The sequence below is a fragment of the Homo sapiens genome, chromosome 4, assembly GCF_000001405.40.
Source record: "Homo sapiens chromosome 4, GRCh38.p14 Primary Assembly".
NCBI lineage: Eukaryota > Metazoa > Chordata > Mammalia > Primates > Hominidae > Homo > Homo sapiens.
Window position 1 is genome coordinate 176,203,244 of NC_000004.12, and position 24,114 is coordinate 176,227,357.

Below are 24,114 nucleotides of genomic sequence, written 5' to 3' on the forward strand. Positions count from 1 at the left end.
TTTGATCGTATGTAACTGGAAGAATAAAGGGGTTACATTAAAAACACTTCTTGCTAATGGGAAGGCTGTCCTCCTACCTTCAGTCAATATAGCCGCCAATCACAGATGTTGAATATCCCACACAGAAACGTAGGGGGTCCCTTTCACTTCCTTACAAGACCAGGAAATGCAGGAACTGTGGAGTGAAAAGAAGAAATAAGATGGAAAAATATTCATAACACCGCAGTAGAAAGTATCTGTTTCTTATTGGTTATCCATTGTTGAATCATTCAAAAACATAGTGGCATCAATCAATCAGCAACAAATTTTGTTTCTCACAATGATGTGGGACAGCATTTGGGCTGAACTCAGGCAGTTCTGCTGGTTGTGCTTGAGGTCCCTCATGAGGCTTCACTTCTCTGTGACTCAACCTGGGCTGCGCCGTCTAGGAGGGTCTCACTCATATCCTTGGCAGATGGTGCTGGCTGTTGGTGGGCTTCTCACTCCACATGGTTTCTCATCCCTTTTTCACATGGTGGTCTCAGGCTTCCACAAGGATGAAATCAGAAGCTGCAAGGTCTCTTGAGGGCTAGCCTCGAAATTAACCCAACATCACGCTACTCCATGTCTTAGTCACAGAAAGAGACAGGACCCATCCAAATGCAAGACATGGGTAACATGTCCACTCCTCTTGTTGGGAGGAGAAGGCAAGTGACATTGCAAAAGACTGCACAGGAGGAATTATTGTCAATATTTTGCAAGCAATCTACTCCTGTTCCTCTGTTTCCTTCAAGTCTTAATGGAATATGATTTGGTTTGATGCAGGTAATTTTCCCACAAAGGATTCAAGAGAGTAGAGGGAGAAGTTACATTCTCAAGGAGAAAAGTTAGCTTTTTTCTTGCTGCTTTTTGCCTTCCAAGTGTGACCTTTTCCCTCTAGCTGTGTTAAGTCCCAGGATAGGGTAAAGGAATTACCTAAGTCATTTCCATCTGATTTAACAAAAGAGGACAACTTCCCTCCAGATGGATGTCACGTACCAGTGTATGAGCTGGTGCATGCACAACAGAATAAGACTAGCTATGTAATTTGTAAGGCAAAGTGCAAAATACAAATGTGGGCTTCTTGACCAAAAATTAAGAATTTCAAGGTGATAGCAGATCCGTAAAAGCAAGCATGGGGCTCCTCTTAGTGTGGGGCCTTGCAGCTGAGTCCCCAGCTGAAGTGTTAATAAAGAGGCATGGAAAAAAAGCATGTTGATCATATAATTTGTCCTATACAACTCAAGAAGAAAGTTTGTGAGATTTAAAAAAATAATCCTTTTTTTTTTTTTTTTTTGTTTTTTTGTTTTTTCAGAGAGAATGTGACTCAAAGGGTAAAATTACTGTCTTTCATTTCCTTAGACAGGGACCATTTGGCTGACAATTAAATTGAGTTCTTCCTTACAAGGAGTAATGTTTTACCTTAGCCAATGTGTCATTATGTACATAATGAATATGGTTCTACAGAATAATTTGAAACATAATGATGAGAAGTACTGACTTCACTTTGAGAGAGATACCTCAAAAATTATAAGGTAGTTAGGAAAATATTTCTTATTGTCACACTGGCAGGGAGGTCACAAGCCCCAACAGCTTCTGAATGTCTAAGTCCAACCCAGGCTTGCAGGCCTGGTCTCTGAGGTGTGCAAGCTGTGCAACCTGGGAGGCTCGTTGCCTAGAGGGGGTCCATGCTTGGAACCAGTTATATAGTTGGCCCCATTCTTCAGTGATACTGTAAATCCACACTTCCTTTAATACCTGTCTGCACACAGCAAATATGTCCTCAGTTGTTTGCATATCAAAGGAATTAAGTCTGTTCTAATGAAGTCACTGAAAGATTACTCTACATTTGTGGCTCTCAGTGGGGTAAATTTGGCCCCAAGGGACATTTGACAATGTCTAGGGACACCTTGTTTGTCACGACTGGAGGGAGAGGGGACAGGGTGGGGTGCTGACAACTTGGGGGAGGGAGCAGATTGCTGATACCTGGTGGGTGAAGGCCAGGGCCGCTGCTGGACATGCGACAGTGCACTGGACAGTCTCACACAATGAGAAGTATCTGGTTCCAAATGTCCATAATGTGGAGGTTGAGATATTCTGTTTTAGATTAACTCAAACTTGCAAAAGTGTACTGCTGAGTGGGAGATGGGGACTCCAAGGTGAGGATGGGGCTGTGAGCAGATGGTGTGGATTCCTGTGAAGTCTCCAAGGAGAACACAATGAAAGGAAGAGGGCGGCCCTCACATACCTAAGGATGGAAGGCGGGGGATGGGCAGGCAACGTTAGAACTGAGCTCCACAGACACTTATCCCACCTCGGGAGGTGGAGAAAGGAGAACAGCATGTGCATTTATGGACAGTGTGAACTGTGATAAGCAAAGGTTGAAATTATACACATAGTTGCAGACCTTATGAATATTTTACTTCCTGCTATTACTAACCATCACTGCAGCTAGATGACAGAGTTAATGCAAAGCTGGCCCCGCTTATCATGAACAGGTCTTAGGAGTAAGCTACTCTGTTGAACTATAAAGAGTCTCAAAAACATGCTCCCTTCCCTCCTGAGATCTGAAACAATTCTCAGTAAGACAAAAGATCAAAGCAGTTGGGAAAAAAAAAAACCCTCAAATCTGTCACTGATGGAGTTGTTATTTGAGAAGGTGCTTATGTCCATGGGCAAGCATCTTCCTAGTATTCAACTCCAGGTGTAGAATGAAGCCTCTCCTAGTCACAGGCTTGTGGGACCTGGATGCAGGCAGAATCAGCTGCTGTCAAATACATGGTTATAGAGAAGCAGAACAGAGCATTTGTTCCCTGTGGCAGCTCAGACCAGGTAGGGAGAGGAAGGGGCTATGCACGCTCAGTTCTCCTTCCAGTTAACCAATCCCATTCAGTGGCTCCCTCTCTTGTAGGGTTGGGGACTGCTGCAGGTGGCAGTTATGGAGGATGGGGCTGGGGGAGTGAGGACAGAGCCCTGGAGTAATGTGCTAGTGGGGGTCCCTACACATGGGAGAGTAAAATAGGAACGGGAGAAAGATGCCATCCTGCCCGCCTTGCAGACAGGATCAGTGTGCAGTCAGCTACTGCCTTTGGAGATAGGGGACCCAGCATGATGAAGCTCCTCCTTATTATCATGAGAACAGAGGAGAATGGGGTTGAGGGAGGAGCAACTAGAAGAAGAAGAAATCTTTGCCATATATGGAACTGCTAAGGTGCACTGACTTCATTTTCAAAACTCCTCTTTAATGACCAACTGAAGTTAGGGGCCCAAAAGATGACGAATGATGTCCAGAAGGCTAGCTTCATCCATTTAGGGGAAAGAAGTGACTAAGAATCCAGCCTAAGCACAAGTATGGGAGAGGGAGAGATGGAGTCCCTGCTTCCTTCCACAGTATCCCCCAGCACCTCCATAAAACCCAATTCTTTCTTTTTAAAAGCCTGGTGTGGTTAATTCCATCTTGTATATCGGTAAAGGGAGCTTGGAAAACACTATTTTCTCCAAGTCTTTATTCCCTTTGTTCTATCAGGTATGCTTACGCCATGATAAAGCAAGTTTGAAGGTCTTTCCTGCCGTATGATATACCCTGGGCTACTCCTGCAGGGAAGCAGCCTTGTTCCTCATTCCTCTCATTTCACATATTCTCTCCCTACACTACTCATGTTGAATATTTTTACAGGGTCCTCCCTGTAGAAACCTGTCCTGATATCGAATATCCTGACTGACTACTTCTTCTACTCTGGATCAATAAGGGATCTCTTTTCTGATCCTCTCGATCTTCTCCTGTTTGATGTCAAGTCTTATGCCCACCAAAACCCCCATCCTTTTCTTCCTTGAGTCTTTGGGAATCTTCATTGGTTAGTTCTCTAGCGTGCTGTTAGTGTTCTGGCACAAAAACACTAATACCTCTGGTTTTTAGGAACTGGACTGCATCAGTTTTACTTGCCCCCTGTGGGTAGCTCAGATCAGGTAGGGAGAAGAAGGGGCTATGCATGCTCCCTTCTTCCAGTTAACCAATTCCATTCATCCCTCCCCTCTGTTGTGAGGTGAGGGGTGCTGCAGGTGGCAGGGATGGAGGACAAGGACTGGGGGAGTGAGGACAGAGCCTGGGGATGCTGTGCTTGTGGAGCTCCCTCCATATGGAAGAAGAAAAATGGAAGAAAGTTGCTATCCCACCCACCTTGTGATTGGAACGAATGTGCAGCCAGTCACAGCCCTTCATCATGCAGCCTGCATGAATCCACTTAGGACAGCAATTCCACTGGATGTTTTCTTCTGTATGTGTAGGGCATTTATATTCTCTAAAGTTCTCTCTTGAGCAATTCCTTTGAGAGGATATCAAAAGTAAAGATCCTGATATATTGGCTTTAAAAAGTTACACTACTGGGCTGGGCATGGTGGCTCACACCGGTAATCCCAGCACTTTGTGAGGCCAAGGTGGGTGGATCACCTAAGAGCAAGAGATCTAGACCAGCCTGGCCAACATGGCAAAAGCCCATCTCTTCTAAAAAATACAAAAATTAGCTGTACATCGTGGCAGGCACTTGTAATCCCAGCTACTCAGGAGGCTGAGTCAGGAGAATCACTTGAACCCGGGAGGTGGAGGTTGCAGTGAGCAGAGATTGCACCTTTGCACTCCAGCCTGGGAGACAGATCAAGACCCGGTCTTAAAAAAAAAAAAAGTTACATCACTGGCCTGCAAGAGACAGAGATTTTAGAGCTCTGACCTCACCAGATTCAAGCTTTTAATTGCCTTATCTCTGGAGCTATAAAGATAATGAGTGTTGGCAGTAAGAGTCACCCTTATTTGCATCAACTGCAGAGGCATAGCTGCCAGCTCCCTTCCTAGGGCACGCGATTCACCTCAGTGCTTACATTCCCCATCAAGACGCACTTTGGCTGCTTGGACTTATGAAATTCCTTTTAAATATTTTAATTAGTTACTGTAAATTGTTCTATATAACCCATAAAAGGAACCTCCATGACAGAGCTCGTGAAGCAGGTAATGAATCCCAAAATAGTGTTTGCACAATGGGAGCATGTCTTCCCTCTGGGCTATTCCTTTAGATATCCATGAATTTGCCTTTATAGGAGGGACCATGTGGGATTAGCACAGGAGAAAAGCATTAATTTCCTTCCCAAGATAAATATTTCTGTAATAGGTTATATCATGTTTTTATTCCTGCTTTCTCCCATCTTTAGTACAGATATTTTGGACATGCTAAAAATGACCATCTACCCAGGCGTGGTGGCTCACTCTGTTCTTAGACCTGGTTGTCTAGGGTCCAGTCTCACAAGGACAATGACAATAGAGAGATTGAGCCTTTCTATCTCTGTTGATAATTTTTTGCTGGCTTAAGACCAGTTAAGCAGGTGTATCTTAGCAGATGTATCTCAGTCTTCCACGAGGATAAAATTAGAAGCTTCAAGGTCTCTTGAGGCCTAGGCTTGAAATTAACCCAACATCACGCTACTCCATGTCTTAGTCACAGAAAGAGACAGGACCCATCCAAATGCAAGACATGGGTAACGTGCCCGCTCCTCTTGTTGGGAGGAGAAGGCAAGTGACATTGCAAAAGACTGCACGGGAGGAATTATTGTCAATATGTTGCAAGCTATCTACTCCTGTTCCTCTGTTTCCTTCAGGCCTTAAGGGAATATGATTTGGTTTGATGCCACTCACTGCAACCTCCACCTCCTGAATTCAAGCAGTTCTTCTGCCTCAGCCTCCTGAGTAGCTGGGACTACAGGTGCGTGCCACCACGCCTGGCTAATTTTTGTATTTGTACTAGAGATGGGGTTTCACCATGTTGGCCAGGATGGTCTTGATCTCTTGACCTCGTGATCTGCCCGCCTCGGCTTCTCAAAGTGCTGGGATTACAAGCATAAGCCACCATGCCTGGCCAATTACTTGTATATTTTAGTTATCTCTTTTTGTTTCGTCCAGTAGAAACTCGCTGATATTCTTTATCATAATTGGAGGGAATTGGGTGTTATCTGAATGAAGTGCCAAAGAGTTCATGTTTAGTGCTCATCTCTTCGGATATCCTGCCAGCTCTGAAAGTTCCATGATTCTCCATGATTCTGAAAGTTCTGTGATCCTCCTACTTCTGCTGCTGTGGCAATTGGCCTCAGGTTGGGCTGCTTCAGACGGGTGGAGGGTCAGGCAGGTGAACAAGGAAAGTCTTTGAAAAATCTGTCCTTAGAGACAGCAGTTCCACTTTCTATGCCTTTGGCATACATCTGTGGCTCTCTGGGTCTCTTTCTTTCTCATGCCTCCACAATCTTATTGTTATGGCATTTCCATTTCATATCATTTGTTATGTCTCATATCTCTCTGGTAAGTGCTTTATGGGATGTTTAATTTTTCAGCACTTTACATCAGAGCACCTCCTTGTCCCAGCTTGTCTTTCAAACCCCTGCCACACACCACAAGCCACCTGCCTGCCTGTCGTCTGCTCTTGGGGGAGATGCCCAAGCATCTATGAAGCGGGTGGTACATGATTCACATTGCACGTGCTGGACTTGGCAGTGGCTGTAGGTGTGACAGATTTTTAAGACATATTTTGTTCAGTAAAGATGAGTAACTTTTGGGTGGATTTCTTTTTATTAGTGTGTTTGAGAAAGCCGGTCTTGTCTGATTGTAGAATTTGGGTTGCATTCTAACCCTAAGTCCCAGATTCCACCCATTGTGGAAGGGATTGTCATCTAACATTGCCCAGTGGAGGGGGATTGAGGGAGAGCTCAGTGGTAACTGTCCCAAAGGACCTGGATCCGGGTTCCTAACTCCACAGATGTCTCCACGCCAAATAATAGAGCCACTCTCTTTACCCACGAAGACTTAACTTCAATCTTTGCAGTAGGGAGACTGATCAAGGAAGCCAAAGCCGCTGAATTAGTTTAACATCTCCTTTCTCTTGTTCCCACTCTAGGAGAAAGGGTGCTATCTTTCCGCATACAATCACACACATCCCTTGTGGGCAGAGAAGAAAATAACTTTTGTGTTTCAAGCTAATTGAAGAAGCATGTGATGGCCTTTAAGGGGAAGGAAATGTAGATGAATCTTTGACTGATGAGGAGGGAGTTGTGAACATGACACAGTTCCACCTACAGTAAACTCACAGCCTACGCAGGAGGCAGACAAGCAAATAAAAATTTGTTCTGTAGTACTAGGGATGTGATTAGAAGAGGCCTGCACAGGGTTCCAAAGAGAATAGATGGATATGCAACCCAGACTGGGGGATGGTGAGGAAGGTTTGGCTGGGAGGAGGGTGAGGAAGGTTTCTTGGAAGAGTGATTTTTTAGCTAATTGTTGGTGGTAATGCAGCAGTTATTAAGACAGACCATGGAGAAGGATGTGTTCCAGGCAGAGGGAACAGCATTTGCAGTGGCAAGGAGGGAAAATGAGCTCTGGGAGGATCTAGTCTGTGTTTTGACTTTCACATTAGGAACTTTCCTTCTTTCTTTCTTTCTTCCTTTCTTCCCTTACCTTCCCTTTCTTTCTTTCTCTTCTTTCTTTTTCTTCTTTTTCTCCTGCTTCTTTCCTTTCTCTTTCGTTTCTTTCTTCTTTCTTTCCTCTTTCTTTTCTTTCTCTCTTATTTATTTATTCATTCGTTCTTTCTTCTTTCTTGTTCTTTCTTTCTTTCTATTTGAGACAGGGTCTTACGCTGAAGTGCAGTGATGTGGTCATAGCTCACTGCAGCCTCAACTCCTGGGCTCAAGTGATCCTCCTGCCTCATTCCTCCTGTGTAGCTGGGACTACAGGTGCACACCACGCCCAGCAGGAGCTTTCTTAAATCAGTGCAAAAGCCCTCTGTGATCTGTCACCTAATCACTGCCCCATATCACCCGCCTAACTCTCCTGACACACTCGAGTCTCCCAGAGGACAAGAGCATATGCATGCTCCCACCAGAAATTGGATTTCACAGACGTCTTCTGGAATTTAGATGTCATTCCAGGAAGAAATGGCACAGGAGTTGGGGGGGGTGGGGGGTGGGGTGGGCAGAGCTTTGAATTGACTGAAAAGTTTACTTGAAGAGACTGAGAAAACACTGAATTGACTGAGTTTATCCAGGAATTTCCTGATTTCACTTGGTGAAAAGGAAGCTTGGAGTAAAAATTAAATTCTGTTCAGAATAATGAAACAAACTTTTTTGCAAACCTGAACATGTAATTTATAAAATTTGTACATGCAATATGTTTTTCATAAACCAAAAAATAATTTTTAAAATGTATTTGAACTCCCTCACCCTTATTAAAAGACTCAATGAAATTGAACACAGAACTGAAAATGGGAAGGAAACCTATATTTAAAAAATGTGAAAACTGGCTGGATGCGGTGGCTCATGCCTGCCATCCCAGCATTTTGGGAGGCCAAGGCAGGTGGATTACTTGAGGTCAGGAGTCCAAGACCAGCCTGGCCAACATAGTGAAACCCTGTCTCTACAAAACATACAAAAAGTAGCCAAGTGTGGTGACACACACCTGTAATCCCAGCTACTCAGGAGGTTGAGGCAGGACAATCGCTTGAACCCAAGAGGCAGAGGTTGCAGTGAGCTGAGATTTGAGACTCTGTCTCAAAAAAAAAAAAAAGAGAAAACTGAGACGCGTTGTGGGAAGTCAGGGACCCCAAATGGAGGGACTGACTGGAGCCGCAGCAGAGGAACATAAATTGTGAAGATTTCATGGACATTTATCAGTTCCCAAATAATACTTTTATAATTTCTTTTGCCTGTCTTTACTTTAATCTCTTAATCCTGTTATCTTCATAAGCTGAGGGTGTACGTCACCTCAGGACCACTGTGATAATTGTGTTAACTGTACAAATTGATTGTAAAACATGTGTTTGAACAAAATGAGATCAGTACCCCTTGAAAAAGAACAGAATAACAACGATTTTTAGGGAACAAGGGAAGACAACTATAAGGTCTGACTGCCTGCGGGGTCGGGCAAAAAGAGCCATATTTTTCTTCTTGCAGAGAGCCTATAAACAGATGAGCAAGTAGGGAAGATATCGCTAAATTCTTTTCCTAGCAAGGAGTATTAATATTAATACCCTGGGAAAGGAATGCATTCCTGGGAGGAGGTCTATAAATGGCCGCTCTGGGAATGTCTGTCTTATGCAGTTGAGATAAGGACTGAAATACACCCTGGTCTCCTGCAGTACCCTCAAGCTTACTAGGGTGGGGAAAACCTCTGCCATGGTAAATTTGTGGTCAGACTGGTTCTCTGCTCTCGAACTCTGTTTTCTGTTGTTTAAGATGTTTATCATGACAATATGTGCACCACTGAACACAGACCCTAATCAGTAGTTCTGCTTTTGCCCTTTGCCTTGTGATCTTTGTTAGACCCTTATCAGTAGTTCTCCTTTTTGCCCTTTGAAACATGTGATCTACTCCCTGTTCTTACACCCCCTCCCCTCTTGAAACCCTTAATAAAAACTTGCTGGTCTGAGACTCAGGCGAGCATCACAGTCCTACCAATATGTGATGTCACCCCTGGAGGCCCAGCTGTAAAATTCCTCTCTTTGTAGTGTCTCTCTTTATTCCTCAGCTGGCCGATACTTATGGAAAATAGAAAGAACCTACATTGAAATATTGGGGCAGATTCCCCCAATAGAGACCTACACAGCTGAAATGAAATGATTTGCTTAAGGTCATGGGGCAGATGAAGAGCTAGTAATGCACTGAATTTTCTTAATAAATTTTCTTCCATCAATCTTGAAACTGTGAGAAAGTTCAGTTAGGTTTTTAAGAGAAAGGGCTAACCTTAAAATAAAGTAAATTCTAAATGATAATAAGAATAACAGAGAAACTGAAGTAAAAAAGTGGGAATAATCCAAGGGAAAGGATAATTTTTAAGTTATTTTGTAGCTGGATCACTAGTCAGTTGAGCTCAGTGCTATGATGGAACAAAGAAAACCTTCTACTCTGAAGAGGCCTTTCTTTTCTACTACATATCTATTTACTTTCTCAGAAACACCAAATATATGCTGTGGTTATTAAAACAATAGAATTTAATTACTTTTTTAATCCAAAAAAATTGTTTCAACAGTGTCTATCTACAGTTATTGTTTTACTAAATTTCTTAAATCTTATGTCACATAGTAACTATTTTGTTTCTTTTACTTTGTGAAATTTTGTCCTTGAACTTTAATGTGTGTGTATACATATATGTATATATGTATATTATATGTATTAAATATCACATATATTATATGTATTATATGTCACATATATATAAAATATGTCTTGGATTAGAAGGTCTTTGAGGTATCTATTTTTTATTCTGTGCTACTCTATCTTAATGCTCATGATTCAGTGATTTGGAAACTGGTGGTGAAAAAAATTAGTGCAACTGAGTCACTCCATGACTTTTCATTATAAAATAAAATAATGAGACAAACACAAAGTGTTTTATTCCAATGAATAATAATCACACTTTAATATAATAACAAACATACAATACATTAAAGTTAGAACACTACTTTGATAAGACAATCATACTCAAGCTAAGATACAAGGTACAGACATACTGAAATTGTAAAGTGACCATTTTAATGTTTGATATTTACTTCTCTTATTGGCACAAGACTAATAAGATAGATGGGTTGTATTACTCTTAAAATCTAAGACTTCTCCTCTAGCTCAGGGAAAATACTGGTGGAAACCTGTTTTACCCAAAAGCAGCTTTAATATCTGTTTAACCAGGTTATTCTATAATAAGAACTCCATTTTAATGCACGTTATCCATTACAAATGTGTGAGATATTCTATAAAACACATATTTAAAGGTCCCTATCCTCATATAAAACATTGTTTAGTGAATATGCTACAGCTTTATTTCTATGTTTGAAAATCTCAACAAACGTTTTAAATCACAACTGATTTTTTTTCTTTCTGCCAAAATGCAAGCTTAGTGATCTGGGGGTCACATACAATCATAATTTATTTTCCCATAGTCTGGAAGTTAGCCAAGAAGTCAGAAGAAAATAAGCCCTGGGTTGTTGAAAATAGTGGTCAAAATATTTACTTTATCAAAATTTAATAAATCTATAAAACTCACCCAAAGTTGCTTTTGTTTTACAAAGAGTTGTACGTTGATTATCTTATTTCTAAAATCATAATAGGCCCTGAATTACAAAACAGGCATAAAATTTTATTAAGTTTTTTATTGCACTCAAGTATAGTTAAAGCTGAAGAGAATAAACGTAGTATTTACCCTTGCAGAGGACTAGCTTAGTAATATCTTCTTTTATACAATACTCTCTTGCTATTACTTGCAAATACAGTATACTCTAAGCCCTTGTTTTGTGTAAAAAGAATTAGAAACAGTGCGATTAAGTTCTCTATATACATTTTTTAAGGTCTCCAATGTGTTAAGTGGCACCCACTCTTTAAAAACTCCACAATTTGAGTTTTTAATCTTCCATTTTTTTATATCCTTGGACTGATGTGATGATCCCCGGAATATGATCCAGGGCCTGTTTGTTAATTAGATATATAGTTCATTTTCTTAAGTCCAAGTATCACTAGCTATTGACAATTTCTGAAATGGAAGAAGGCTGGAGTAATATGCATATAACCGCCTTGATAAGAGATCATCAGGGGCTACTCCTGAGAAGGAGGCAGTCTTAACATAGCCTTAGAAGGTGTGTAATGTTCTAAATATCTCAGGGTGAGAGGGCAGTATTGACCTTTCATCCTATCACTTTTCTGTAACAAGTCCATGTACTATGGAGAAGAGAAGTGACTTGTGAGTCCTTTGCCAGGGGTAAGTGGGGGAGAGGGGGGCAATTTATCTTTATGAAGTGTTCATTCTAATGACCAGTGGACATTCAACATAGTGGATTTCCTGAATGAGCATCATCCTGGTTTCAGAAAACATATTAGTTGCTCTTTGCTAAGCCATATTCATATTTTATGTCAATATCAGTAACAAGTTAGCCAATTACAATAGCCAAAATTAAAAAGTTAACCCATTAGTTGAAGAACATAGACCTTTTTAAATATAATATGAATAACTTTACTAGGAGCTTTATTTCTTTCCAATCCAAAAGAAAACATAAGATAGTGACTTTATTATTTTTTCCTGAATAAACAGGAGGGTATATTGAAATAACAAAAAATAGATATTATAAATATGCTATAATCCAAAGACAGCATAAATGATAAAACAATAGTACTAATACACTTAAAATGAAAATTGATATTTTACTGCTTCCCTGGGTGATCTCACACTCACTTTTATCCTATCTTTAGCATATTTTTATATGAACTATTCCTTAAGCAAAAGAAATAGAAATTTTGATTTTCAAGGTATTTAGAATTACTTTACTGTTTTATCGATACTGTAAGAAATTCTTCAGTAACGTTGGCAGCTGGAGTTGTGGGATAAGGTGCAATCTTGGTTTTCCTATGTAGCTTCGGATACAGAGTCGGCAAAGTTGGTAAAGAGAGCTTGGGGTAGCTACAAGAAGACATGAATCTATTTGTTAATTAAAATAGAAATGAATTTTTTATGTTGTAAGGTACATAACATAAAACCATAAAAACTACAATGCTTTGTAGTAAACCTAGGATAGCATGACCACTATACTAGGGAAATTTATGTAAGCAGTTATATTGCTTTTATTTATAAGATCTTATTATAATTGAGATATATTCCATATACATTCCTTAAAATATTATAATCCTCAGGCTTAGGAAATAATTGTTGAATTTAAAGCCTCAGAAACAAAGTCTGCTTTTTGAAGGAGATATAAATCAAAAGTCCTGAGAAGTATTATGCACTAAAAGGGGAAATTTTAAAATTAAGTTTAATATTTACCCTAAAAGAAATATTATAGTCCCTGGACTAGGATTAAGAAATCCTATTTTAGAACAAAAGTCTCAAATGTAAAAATATTTACTAATTTTATTTCTATAATATGTTATAGAAGGTTCATGTCCTTATAAAATGGGGCATGCTCCAAATATAAATCAGCAGATATTATACCAGAAGTGCATATAATGCATTACTGAAACTAATTGAATATATTTAACCAAAAATATATGAGAGTTTAGGTAAGATGAAAGAGAAAATTAAAATTATCATTTTTTTTCTTTTTTTTAGATGGAGTCTCACTCTGTTGCCAGGTTGGAGTGCAGTGGCGTAATCCTGGCTCACTGCAACCTCCGCCTCCCGGGTTCAAGTGATTCTCCTTCCGCAGCCTCCTGAGTAGCTGAGATTACAGGCACGCACCACCATGCCCAGCTAATTTTTGTGTTTTTAGTAGAGACAGGGTTTCACCATGTTGGCCAGGATGGCCTTGATCTCTTGACCTTGTGATCCACCCGCCTTGGCCTCCCAAAGTGCTGGGATTACAGGTGTGAGCCACCACACTCGGCTGATATCTTCTTTATAGATAAAACCTAAGTTAAAAATCATCTACTTTCACAAATAATATTCCACATTTTATGCCATTGTTACTTTCCATGCCAACAAAAACTCTCTCACTTTCATCTATTTTAGGCAAATATATTTTGTTTTTGTAAGTTTCCACATGTATTTTTCTTACCTTCATGTTGAAGCAATATCCTTTCCACCATACTGCTAGACGTAGCTACATCTATAGGTCGCAGAAGCTCTGTATTTTTGGCATTGATATCTGCTCCAAATTCTAGCAGTAAGTTTACAATTTCTGTGCTGGATTGTTGAGCAGCAGCATGTAATGGAGTATCCCAATATTTGCCTTTCTGTACGTCAGCACCTACATGTAATACGGAGTGAAGATAAATATAAATAAAAGTTGTTAAATAAGCCAGCTGCCTCAGTGGGGATAGAAAAGGAAAGGCAATAGAGGAAGGTTATTAAGGGGACTTCAACTCTATTTGTTATGAGTTATTTCTTTATATACATATACAGTATCTACATACACATATATGCCTCATATGTACATATACATATATATAAACTGGGCACATCTGAATGGCAGAGGGTACATACATTTGTTATGTGACTCTCTGATACTTTTCTGTATGCTTGAACTATCATAATAAAATTCTTTTTAACTTTTAAATGATTCCAAAAGTAACCATACTAACTACTATTATAAAGAGTGCACAATTAAGTTCACTCATTTTTATTTTCATCATGGTTGATAGCTTTTAGAATTATTCAGGTGCTTATTTCTATTATTCTTTTCATTTATTTAAGGCAATGAAGCTCTTTGGTTTTCTTGGGAAACTCATGAATATGTGAGCTATTTAGGTAAAATGTATATAGATTTTCCTGCCATTTCTCACTTATGTAGTTTAAGTCAGTAAGTATATAAAGATATTGAGCCTTTTAAATCAAAAGGCACATTGATGATATCTGCATGAAAGGAAAGCTTTTAAAAATGCTTATGTTAAAATACAGCCTACATGCTACATTACCTATTGCACACTTACTTTATCCCAGTGCAAAGCCTGGCACATGCTGGTCATTCAATGCATTTGCAATAAATAAATGCTGTTTAGTACTGTTAAAAATAACCATCCCATTTTCTGGTACATAAACGGTTACAATACCAGAAATGTCTACCAATAAAAATGCATAAGTTCTTTTCAACTCTGTTTTCCGATACTATCTTTAAAACTAATGATGTCTTCATGAAGCAGTACAGTTAAAGTGTCCCTTTATGGCCCTTCTGCTCCTTTCAAATTTCAATAAATGTAATCATTTTCAATATTTTTAAAACAAATATAAAATGTTTCGTGAAAAAATTATATTCCATAACAAAATTTCCATAAAGAAAGCATAAACTTTGTTGGTTATGTCAATTTTATGGAAGAAAAGGGTCTGAAAATAACAATCAATCAACAATTACTAACAGTAATTTCTATATATATATATTTGTATGATATATAAATATATACATTTGTATGATATATAAATATATATATTTGTATGATATATAAATATATATATTTGTATGATATAAATATATATATATTTGTATGATATATAAATATATATATATTTGTATGATATATAAATATATATATATTTGTATGATATATAAATATATATATTTGTATGATATATATATTTGTATGATATATAAATATATATTTGTATGATATATAAATATATATGTATGATATATAAATATATATTTGTATGATATATAAATATATATATTTGTATGATATATAAATATATATATTTGTATGATATATAAATATATATATATTTGTATGATATATAAATATATATATTTGTATGATATATATATTTGTATGATATATAAATATATATATTTGTATGATATATATATTTGTATGATATATAAATATATATATTTGTATGATATATAAATATATATGTATGATATATAAATATATATTTGTATGATATATAAATATATATATTTGTATGATATATAAATATATATATATTTGTATGATATATAAATATATATATATTTGTATGATATATACATTTGTATGATATATAAATATATATATTTGTATGATATATAAATATATATATTTGTATGATATATAAATATATATATTTGTATGATATATAAATATATATGTATGATATATAAATATATATTTGTATGATATATAAATATATATATTTGTATGATATATAAATATATATATTTGTATGATATATAAATATATATATTTGTATGATATATAAATATATATGTATGATATATAAATATATATTTGTATGATATATAAATATATATATTTGTATGATATATAAATATATATGTATGATATATAAATATATATTTGTATGATATATAAATATATATATTTGTATGATATATAAATATATATATATTTGTATGATATATAAATATATATATATATTTGTATGATATATATATTTGTATGATATATAAATATATATTTGTATGACATATAAATATATATTTGTATGACATATAAATATATATATTTGTATGACAGATAAATATATATATTTGTATGATATATAAATATATATGTATGATATATAAATATATATTTGTATGATATATAAATATATATATTTGTATGATATATAAATATATATATTTGTATGATATATAAATATATATATTTGTATGATATATAAATATATATATTTGTATGATATATAAATATATATATTTGTATGATATATAAATATATATATGTATGATATATAAATATATATATTTGTATGATATATAAATATATATATTTGTATGATATATAAATATATATATTTGTATGATATATAAATATATATATTTGTATGATATATAAATATATATATGTATGATATATAAATATGTATATATTTGTATGATATATATATATATATATATATATATATATATATATATATATAGGCTGGAGTACAGTGGCACGATCTCGGCTCACTGTTACCTCCACCTCCCGGGTTCAAGTTGCCTCAGCCTCTCGAGCAGCTGGGACTACAGGCACATGCCACCATGCCTAGCTAATTTTTGTATTTTTAATAGAGACAGGGTTTCACTATGTTGGCCAGGCTGGTCTCAAACTCCTGACCTCAAGTGATCCACTTGCCTAGGCCTTCCAAAGTGCTGGGATTACAGGCCCATATATTTTAAAACCCAGTATAAAATGTTTGGTGGAAAGAATAATATTTCTAGCAAAGGAATGAAAGGCTCTAAAGCAGGGGTGTCCAATCGTTTGGTTTCCCTTGGCCACACTGGAAGAAGAAGAATTGTCTTGGGCCACACATATAATACACTAACACTAATGATAGCTGATGAGCTAAAACAAACAAACAAACCAAAAACTTATAATGTTTTAAGAAAGTTTATGAATTTTGATTGGGCTGCATTCAAAGCCATCCTGGGCCGCATGGGGCCCACAGGCCGCAGGTTGGACAAGCTTGCTAGAAAGCATAAACTCTATTGATCATACAAAATTCATGGGAGGGAGAACATAGCCAAAAAATAACAATCTGTCAATGACTATTAACAGAACTCATGTCTAAGACTGAGTAGGTGTAATGAGAATGAAATAGTAGATGTAGACCCTGCTTGCAAGAAGTTTCTCAGCTAGCTAAGATAATGTGAGTAGTGCATAAAAGGGCTACTAAAAATAAAGGTCAGCATTTATCAGGGATCGAATGATTCTCATAAACAATAAATAGCATAGAACTCCATTTACTCATTTTATTTATATTCTAAACATCTATCAGATGAGAGGATGAGAGAGAGGAACGACGCTAAAGAAAAGAGGGATGGGAAAAAAAGGTATGATCCAAATCGTAAGGGGACTCTGAGTCCTATGGTAAGTGGGACCACTATGGCCTCAGTGGGTTAGGAATGTTTTTCAGGGGACTAAAGCTGAATTTACTTGAAACAAACCTTGAGGAATTGATTTGTTTCAAGTAAGTGGAAAAGGGCAGTAAGTCTTTTCAAGTAAGCAGGACAGAAAGTACAAAGTCTAGAAAAGTGCATGAGTTTTTAAGGTTAGCAGAAGACGAGGTTGTCCAAGCAGTTACTATCCTGAAAATTTCTTTTGATGGATTTGTTCCAAGACATATACATACTTGGCAACATCATATTCAATCTTGAGGATCCTAATTTTATGATAAAAGTAGAGCTTTCAGAATCCATTACATACCCAAATGTCTGCTAATGCAGTGCATGCAAAATATAGAGATTATGTATCTATCTGTGAGCTAGGAAGCCGACTTATCAAGAACGAGGTTCTTTTTTATTGCTTATCAAGAATGAGGTTCTTTTTTATTGGTTCTCTATTCATGTGTGAAAATGCTTAAAATAAGAACATTTTTTAGCAATGAGATCTAATTTTTAAAGATGCTCATTTAGAGAAATAAATAACTGCTTGTGTGTATGGACAGAATGGAAGATGTTTTAAAGGAAAATACCAGCATAAAGAAGCTTCCAGATGCAATGGAATTGCTGTGACATACAAGCTACATAGAGAGGAGTTCCCAAATGAGGAATTTCTTGGTCAACATCTATGCCCCAGGATATCAGGATGTCAAGACATTCATGGTGACCTGCCAACACAAAGTAGAGGAGTTTAACTTAATGCCCATCCACCCCACACACCTCACCCCAGGCTTCCCTTGTGGTGTCATTCATTGAAAGATCAACAGAGCACTGCAGGTTGCTAAAGAAACTTTCTTCCCTTGTCACTTAATCCCAGAACTAAGTTACCTTTACTGGCGGCCTCATGCGTTGGGGATGGAAGACATGACTCCAGCTGGGCTTTGGCACCATACTCCAGAAGCAGCTCTGCACAGCTTGGACTGCCTTGGGAGCATGCGTTGAATAACGGAGTCACGCCATCTATCGTGATTGCATTTACCTAAACCAAACCAAAATATCCAAACATAAGATTCATAAGTCATACATGAGTAACCGACTTAGGCATTGTCAAAAGGTATGTGATTTGCTAACAGAAATACGTAGGAAAATGTGCACATTAAATATGACAAAGTATACTTTGCTCTTATGCATTAACAAGAAAAGCTGTAAAACAGACAGAAATATGATATGGCAGATAATTCATTGGAATGGGCATAAAACTAGTGGAAATCATGAAAAAATGCATGCTCAAATGGCAAATAAGATCTAATTCAATGATTAGATACTTTTCAGTAAGAGTAAAAATGAAGAAAAAAGTGTAATGATGATGAAGTTGTAATGAAGCCACATTGCTAGTTTAAAGTGGTAAAATTGGTAGTTCTATTTCTGAGACTTTATTTAAGGAAAATCATCCAAAAGATGGGCAAACGTTATAGACCTAAAGATGTTCATCGATTGCTATTTACAGTCATGAAAGCAGGAAATAACCTACAGAATAGTCTATATTATGATGCAGCATGCTACCCATTTATGCAATGATTGGAAATCCTTTTTAGAGTGCAATAAGAAGACTAAGGAATTCAAGAGCTTTATTTTTATTCTGCTATTTTTGAAAACTACCGAGAATGAAGGAAAGAAAAGTAAAATGAGAACTCTGTTGGATTCCCTCCGTCAGTAGATGTTAAATGATTAATGTTTTGAAAGGTACTTACATTAGCTCCTGCTTCCAGCAGAGTTCTGGCACATGCCACGTGATCTCCAAGGCAGGCTTCGTGCAATGGGGTGACATGGTCTAAGGTTACTGCATTTACATTATAACCCTAAATGTGGCATAATTTTGAAAGGTGAGCAAAGAGTTATATACTTAAAAAATCATCTATATGGATGTCACTAGAGAGTGATATATTTTAGACATCAAAGAATCTCAGGCAAACGAGTTTCCAGTTTAGCAGGATAGGCCAGTTCAAATGCCATAGGGTCAATCCGTTGTTCAGACTCCTTAGCCCTATTATTGTGGCACCCTCATGTCTGGACCCAATAATGCCTTAAGTATTTGGTTCAATAGATTCTGGCACATTTTCTTTAAATGTTGCTTTCTTAATATTTTTTTATCCTTATTTTGTACTTTGTTCTGTAGAACTAAACACTCGTTTTGTAGAACTAAAGACTTGTTGTTTTGTTTTTGTTTTTGTTTTGAGATGGAGCCTCACTCTGTCACCCAAGCTGGAGTGCAGTGGCGCAATCTCGGCTCACTGCAAGCTCCGCCTCCCGGGTTCATGCCATTCTCCTGCCTCAGCCTCCCGAGTAGCTGGGACTACAGGCGCCCACCACAAGGCCGGGCTAATTTTTTTGTATTTTTAGTAGACACGGGGTTGCACTGTGTTAGCCAGGATGGTCTTGATCTCCTGACCTCGTGATCCACCCACCTTGGCCTCCCAAAGTGCTGGAATTACAGGTGTGAGCCACCGCGCCCGGCCAACTTGTTTTGATTGAGGCTATAAAATTATAGGTCAGCCAAGAATGGGAGAAAAATACTCTAAACTATAGTAAACAGTTTTGTGAACTTTTGTCCCTAAATAGGTATGATGAAGTTGTGCACTAGTGGTTAAGAATTCTGACTATAAAATCAATTAGACTTGGGTTTGAAGTGTGGCTCCATCACGAATAGTTTTAATTTGGACAAATACCTTAACCTCTAAATTTGAAGATTATCATGACAATTAAATGAGATCATGCATGTAAAGCAATTATCATTATAATGCCCAGCATATGAAGACATCATTTTATTGTAATTATTCAATCAAAACTAAGTAAACACTTTTTCACTGTATTCCAATCAAACTCAAAATATCACACTAAAATAATTAAATACTATTAGGATGTGAGATTGTTTGCCTTCTTGATATCTTTGGTATTTCATTGTCTATTGACAATCATACTAAGCACTGTAACAGGAAGAACCTCAAAGCCAAATCTTCATAACATATTACAGATCACCAAAATCTGTAACACCAATATAGACATGAAGAATTTTTAAATGAAGGCAAGAAAACATAATCCTTTCAAAGATTTTGAGTTGGCTAGCCAGCAGTCAGACCTGGGAAGCTAATCCCACACTGCCACACACTAGAGGGACCAGATGTCAGAAGCACCTGAGAAGGCCAAGACTCCCTTTCACATCGGGCTCTGGGGACAGCCTCTCATGATTCTTGGCTGAACTGTCAGTGGATTAGAGACACACACTGAAAAATGTCCTAAGACTGCTCTTCTTCAAAGAACCACACGGCCCTTTCTGAGGAATTACCCTTTAGAATTTGTTGACCCCTTTTTAGTGTTTATTTTCCTCCCATCAAGTGATGAACAAAACAAAACAGTCACATGGTTATCACAGAACTGGAAGGCCCTAAGGAAGTGTCTCACTCTACAGATGAGAAAAGGAGGCTCAGGTAGGTTGTGATTCACCTCAAGTGCCAGCCTAGGATCCAGGTCTTGAGACCCAGGCAATGCTTTTTAAATTGGGCAACATGACCTTTCCTTTCTTCGTAGCCATCTGAGAATGTTCTTTCTCCTTGAGACTGGGAAACAGTAGCGCATGACTTCCAGATCTGGATGTGCATTTGATTTTTTTTTTTTTTTTTTTTTTTTTTTGAGAGGGAGTCTCACTTGCTCTGTCGCCTAGGCTGGAGTGCAATGGCGTGAACTTGGCTCACGGCAACCTCTGCCTCCCAGGTTCAATTGATTCTCCTGCCTCAGCCTCCCAAGTAGCTGGGACTACAGGTGCAAGCCACCATGCCCGGATCATTTTTGTAGTTTTAGTAGAGATGGGGTTTCACCACGTTGGCCAGGCTGGTCTCAAACTCCTGACCTCAGGTGATCCACATGCCTCCGCCTCCCAAAGTGTTGGAATTACAGGCGTGAGCCACTGTGCCCAGCTATTTTTTTTTTAATTTGTAGTAGAGATGGAGTTTCACCATGTTGGCCAGGCTGGTCTCGAACTCCTGACCTCAGGTGATCCACCTGCCTCCGCCTCCCAAAGTGCTGGAATCACAAGCGTGAGCCATTGTGCCAGCCTAGCTGTGCATTTGAATTACATCAGAAGCTTCAAAAAAAAAAATACCCAAGCCAAAGTGTTTTCTGTTTCAATAAGGATTTGTGTTTTTTATTTTTCCTCTGGTGAGTCTGATGAACAGGCAAATATAGAAATGATTGTCCTGTAGCTTTGTTAGGCAATTGCCCATAGCATATTACAGATCACCACAATGTTAAAAAAGATTGCTTTGGCATCTGAACTGGTGACTTCTTTTTGGATATGTTATTATTGAACTAAGTCTGTAATTAGCTGCACATATTGTGCAGAGTTAAGCATATTTAGAAAGCTCAATCAATAACACATAAATCCAATCATTACTTCTTTAAATGTCTATCGATGAACAAATATGCTGTCTGAGAAATCTGAAATACTAAGACATACAATTATATCAAAATATTTATAAAAGAAGTTTCAAAGATAAGTGAGAAACTATTGACTTCTCTGACATGAGTTAAAATAAAAGGGCAGAAGTAAAATGTAAGTGGTTTTATCATATTTGCATTGATTGGTTTTGACCATGTTCTGTGCACATGGAAAGGGGGTATATTTTAAACTATATGTAATATATTACCTGTGATAATAATGTTCTCAGAGCAAGAAGGCGACCTTGACTTGCTGCTTCATGTAGTGGTGATCGATCTGCCCAGGAACCTGTCAAAAAAGAAAAAAAGAAAGAAAAGAAAACAAAAATCCAAGAGTCAAAGTGAATCCCAGTAGACACAATCAATACCAAGATCACATAAATTATTCACACTCAGTGTTCAACAGGGTGAGCCAGATACTTATACTGTACATTAGGAAATTTGACTCTTATTGCAGGAACCAGATAGGCAGTTCCCAACATGAGCCATGATGCATGCTCTGGAATTGACCCACCCCAGACTTACTGTGCCTTTTTAAATTTTTTATTTTATTTAATAGATGGAGTCTCGCCCTGTTGCCCAGGCTGGAGTGCAGTGGCATGATCTCAGCTCAGTACAACCTCTGTCTCCCATGTCAAGAGATTATCCCGCCTCAGTTTCTCGAGTAGCAGGGACTACAGGCGCACACCACCACGCCCGGATCATTTTTGTATTTTTAGTAGAGACAGGGTTTCACCATGTTGGCCAGGCTGGTCTTGAAGTCCTGACCTCAAGTGATCCACCTGCCTTGGTCTCCCAAAGTGCTGGGATTACAGGCGTGAGCCACTGCCCCCGGCTTACTATGCCTTTTGAATTATCTGCACTCACTATTAACCCTAGTGACTCACTAGCAACATTTTTCTTCCAACCATTACCTTGTTGCTGCATTTATTTTGGAGATTAAGTATAGCTTAAGAAGATGCATATAGGTGCCACGTTGACAAGGGATGGATTAGTGATGGTAAATTTCAGGTGTCAACCTGACTGAATTAAAGAACACCTAGAGAATGGGTAAAGCATTGCTTATGAGTGTGTCTGTGAGGGTGTTTCCAGAGGAGATTGTCTTGTGAGTAGGTGGCTGAGTAGAGAGAGCTGCTTGCAGTATGGATGGGCACCATCATATGGCTGGGGGCCTGGAGAGAACAAAAAAACCTCTCCTGGTGTTGGAACACTCTCCTCGAGTTGGGACACTCTCCTCCTCCTGCCCTTGGACATCAGAACTCCAGGCTTTCTCTGACCTTGAGACTCTAGGACTTCAGTGGTCCCCTGGATTCTCAGGCCTTTGACCTCTGACTGAGAATTATATTGGCTTTCCTGGTTCTGAGGCTTTTGTACTTGGACTGAGCCACGCTACCTCATCCCAGGGTCTCCAGCTTGCAGACAGCCTGTTGAGGGACTTCTCAGCCTCCATAGTCATGTGAGCCAATTCCCCTAATCTCCTCTCATATAGCTGCGTCTTTCTCTGTCTATGTATCTAGGTATCTATCTATTTATCAGCTATTGGTTCTGTCTCTCTGGAGAACCCTGACTAATACACCTGACAGAGAAAAAGAGAATTAAGGCCACCAGATCAGCCACAAAAAAGTTCTGTTTCATGTTTTTTCACATTGAACCCCTCCTCTCAATTTTGTTTTGTCCCTTTAGCAGGAATAGCAGCTTGAATGCCCACCTCGCCACACTCCCAGCTCCTTCTGCTATTTCCTGTGGTCCCCCCACCCCAGCTTGCCTGGGCTCTGCGGTGTAGGGGCTGCAACATGTTGCCATGGAGGGCAAGTAGCTGAGCCCCGCGTCTGAAGTGAAGCATGAGCCCTGCTTCTGCACCCAAGCTCTCCTGAATGACTCAACAGTGTCCTAGTGCTTAAGCATTCTATTGCCTGTTGCTATAAAACGGGTATCACCATTGTGGTAAGGAAAGACTTCCAAGACAGCTAGTTATCTCCCCTGCAGTAAAATCACTCTGCATAAACCAAAAGGCAAAACAAAGAAGACAATGAGTGGTCATGGCAGTCAGGGCTAGGAGCATCAGCTCTGGAGTTAGACCATATGACTCTCTAAATCATTACATTTCATCTAGATTTCATTTCCTCTAGTTGAGGATGGAAATAATAATTGTATATACCTCAAGGAGATATGAGAAACTAAATCAGATAGTATACATTGTGCTTAGACTAGTGTACACACATAGTAAACACCATTCAACATTACCTGCTATTACCATTACTTGTAAGTCAACAGAGAGAAGAGAGACTCTGCCTGCTTTCCCTTA

At 38.2% G+C, this 24,114-nt stretch overlaps 1 protein-coding gene across 4 annotated transcripts in view, besides 4 other annotated features; it reads right to left on the minus strand.

Moving 5' to 3' along the window:
• Nucleotides 1–10,429: 10,429 nt before the first annotated feature.
• The window catches only part of ASB5 (ankyrin repeat and SOCS box containing 5), a 63,852-nt gene continuing 50,167 nt past the window's right edge, over nt 10,430–24,114 (minus strand). For all 4 annotated transcript variants that reach the window (XM_005262759.2, NM_080874.4, XM_011531617.4 and 1 more), the window contains 6 exons: nt 22,019–22,098; nt 19,070–19,177; nt 18,207–18,357; nt 17,912–18,046; nt 13,575–13,766; nt 10,430–12,484 (listed from right to left, as the gene is read on the minus strand). In XM_005262759.2, coding sequence (XP_005262816.1) covers nt 12,357–12,484; nt 13,575–13,766; nt 17,912–18,046; nt 18,207–18,357; nt 19,070–19,177; nt 22,019–22,098 — 794 coding nt within the window. In that variant the 3' untranslated portion in view covers nt 10,430–12,356. The remainder of the gene's footprint in view (nt 12,485–13,574; nt 13,767–17,911; nt 18,047–18,206; nt 18,358–19,069; nt 19,178–22,018; nt 22,099–24,114) is intronic.
• Nucleotides 18,009–18,178: an enhancer, noted in NCBI's record as "experimental_76272 CRE fragment used in MPRA reporter constructs". NCBI's record gives its function as "activates a minimal promoter by MPRAs in K562 erythroleukemia cells, with activity observed for both the introgressed and non-introgressed 4:177142488 variant alleles {active_cell/tissue: K562}" and the evidence as "EXISTENCE:reporter gene assay evidence [ECO:0000049][PMID:34662402]".
• Nucleotides 19,257–19,426: an enhancer, noted in NCBI's record as "experimental_76278 CRE fragment used in MPRA reporter constructs". NCBI's record gives its function as "activates a minimal promoter by MPRAs in K562 erythroleukemia cells, with activity observed for both the introgressed and non-introgressed 4:177143736 variant alleles {active_cell/tissue: K562}" and the evidence as "EXISTENCE:reporter gene assay evidence [ECO:0000049][PMID:34662402]".
• Nucleotides 23,564–23,733: an enhancer, noted in NCBI's record as "experimental_76283 CRE fragment used in MPRA reporter constructs". NCBI's record gives its function as "activates a minimal promoter by MPRAs in K562 erythroleukemia cells, with activity observed for both the introgressed and non-introgressed 4:177148043 or rs13129964 variant alleles {active_cell/tissue: K562}" and the evidence as "EXISTENCE:reporter gene assay evidence [ECO:0000049][PMID:34662402]".
• Nucleotide 23,649: a transcriptional cis regulatory region, noted in NCBI's record as "Neanderthal adaptively introgressed variant 4:177148043 (GRCh37/hg19 assembly coordinates) or rs13129964 in the experimental_76283 CRE". NCBI's record gives its function as "modulates activity of the experimental_76283 enhancer by MPRAs in K562 erythroleukemia cells {active_cell/tissue: K562}" and the evidence as "EXISTENCE:reporter gene assay evidence [ECO:0000049][PMID:34662402]".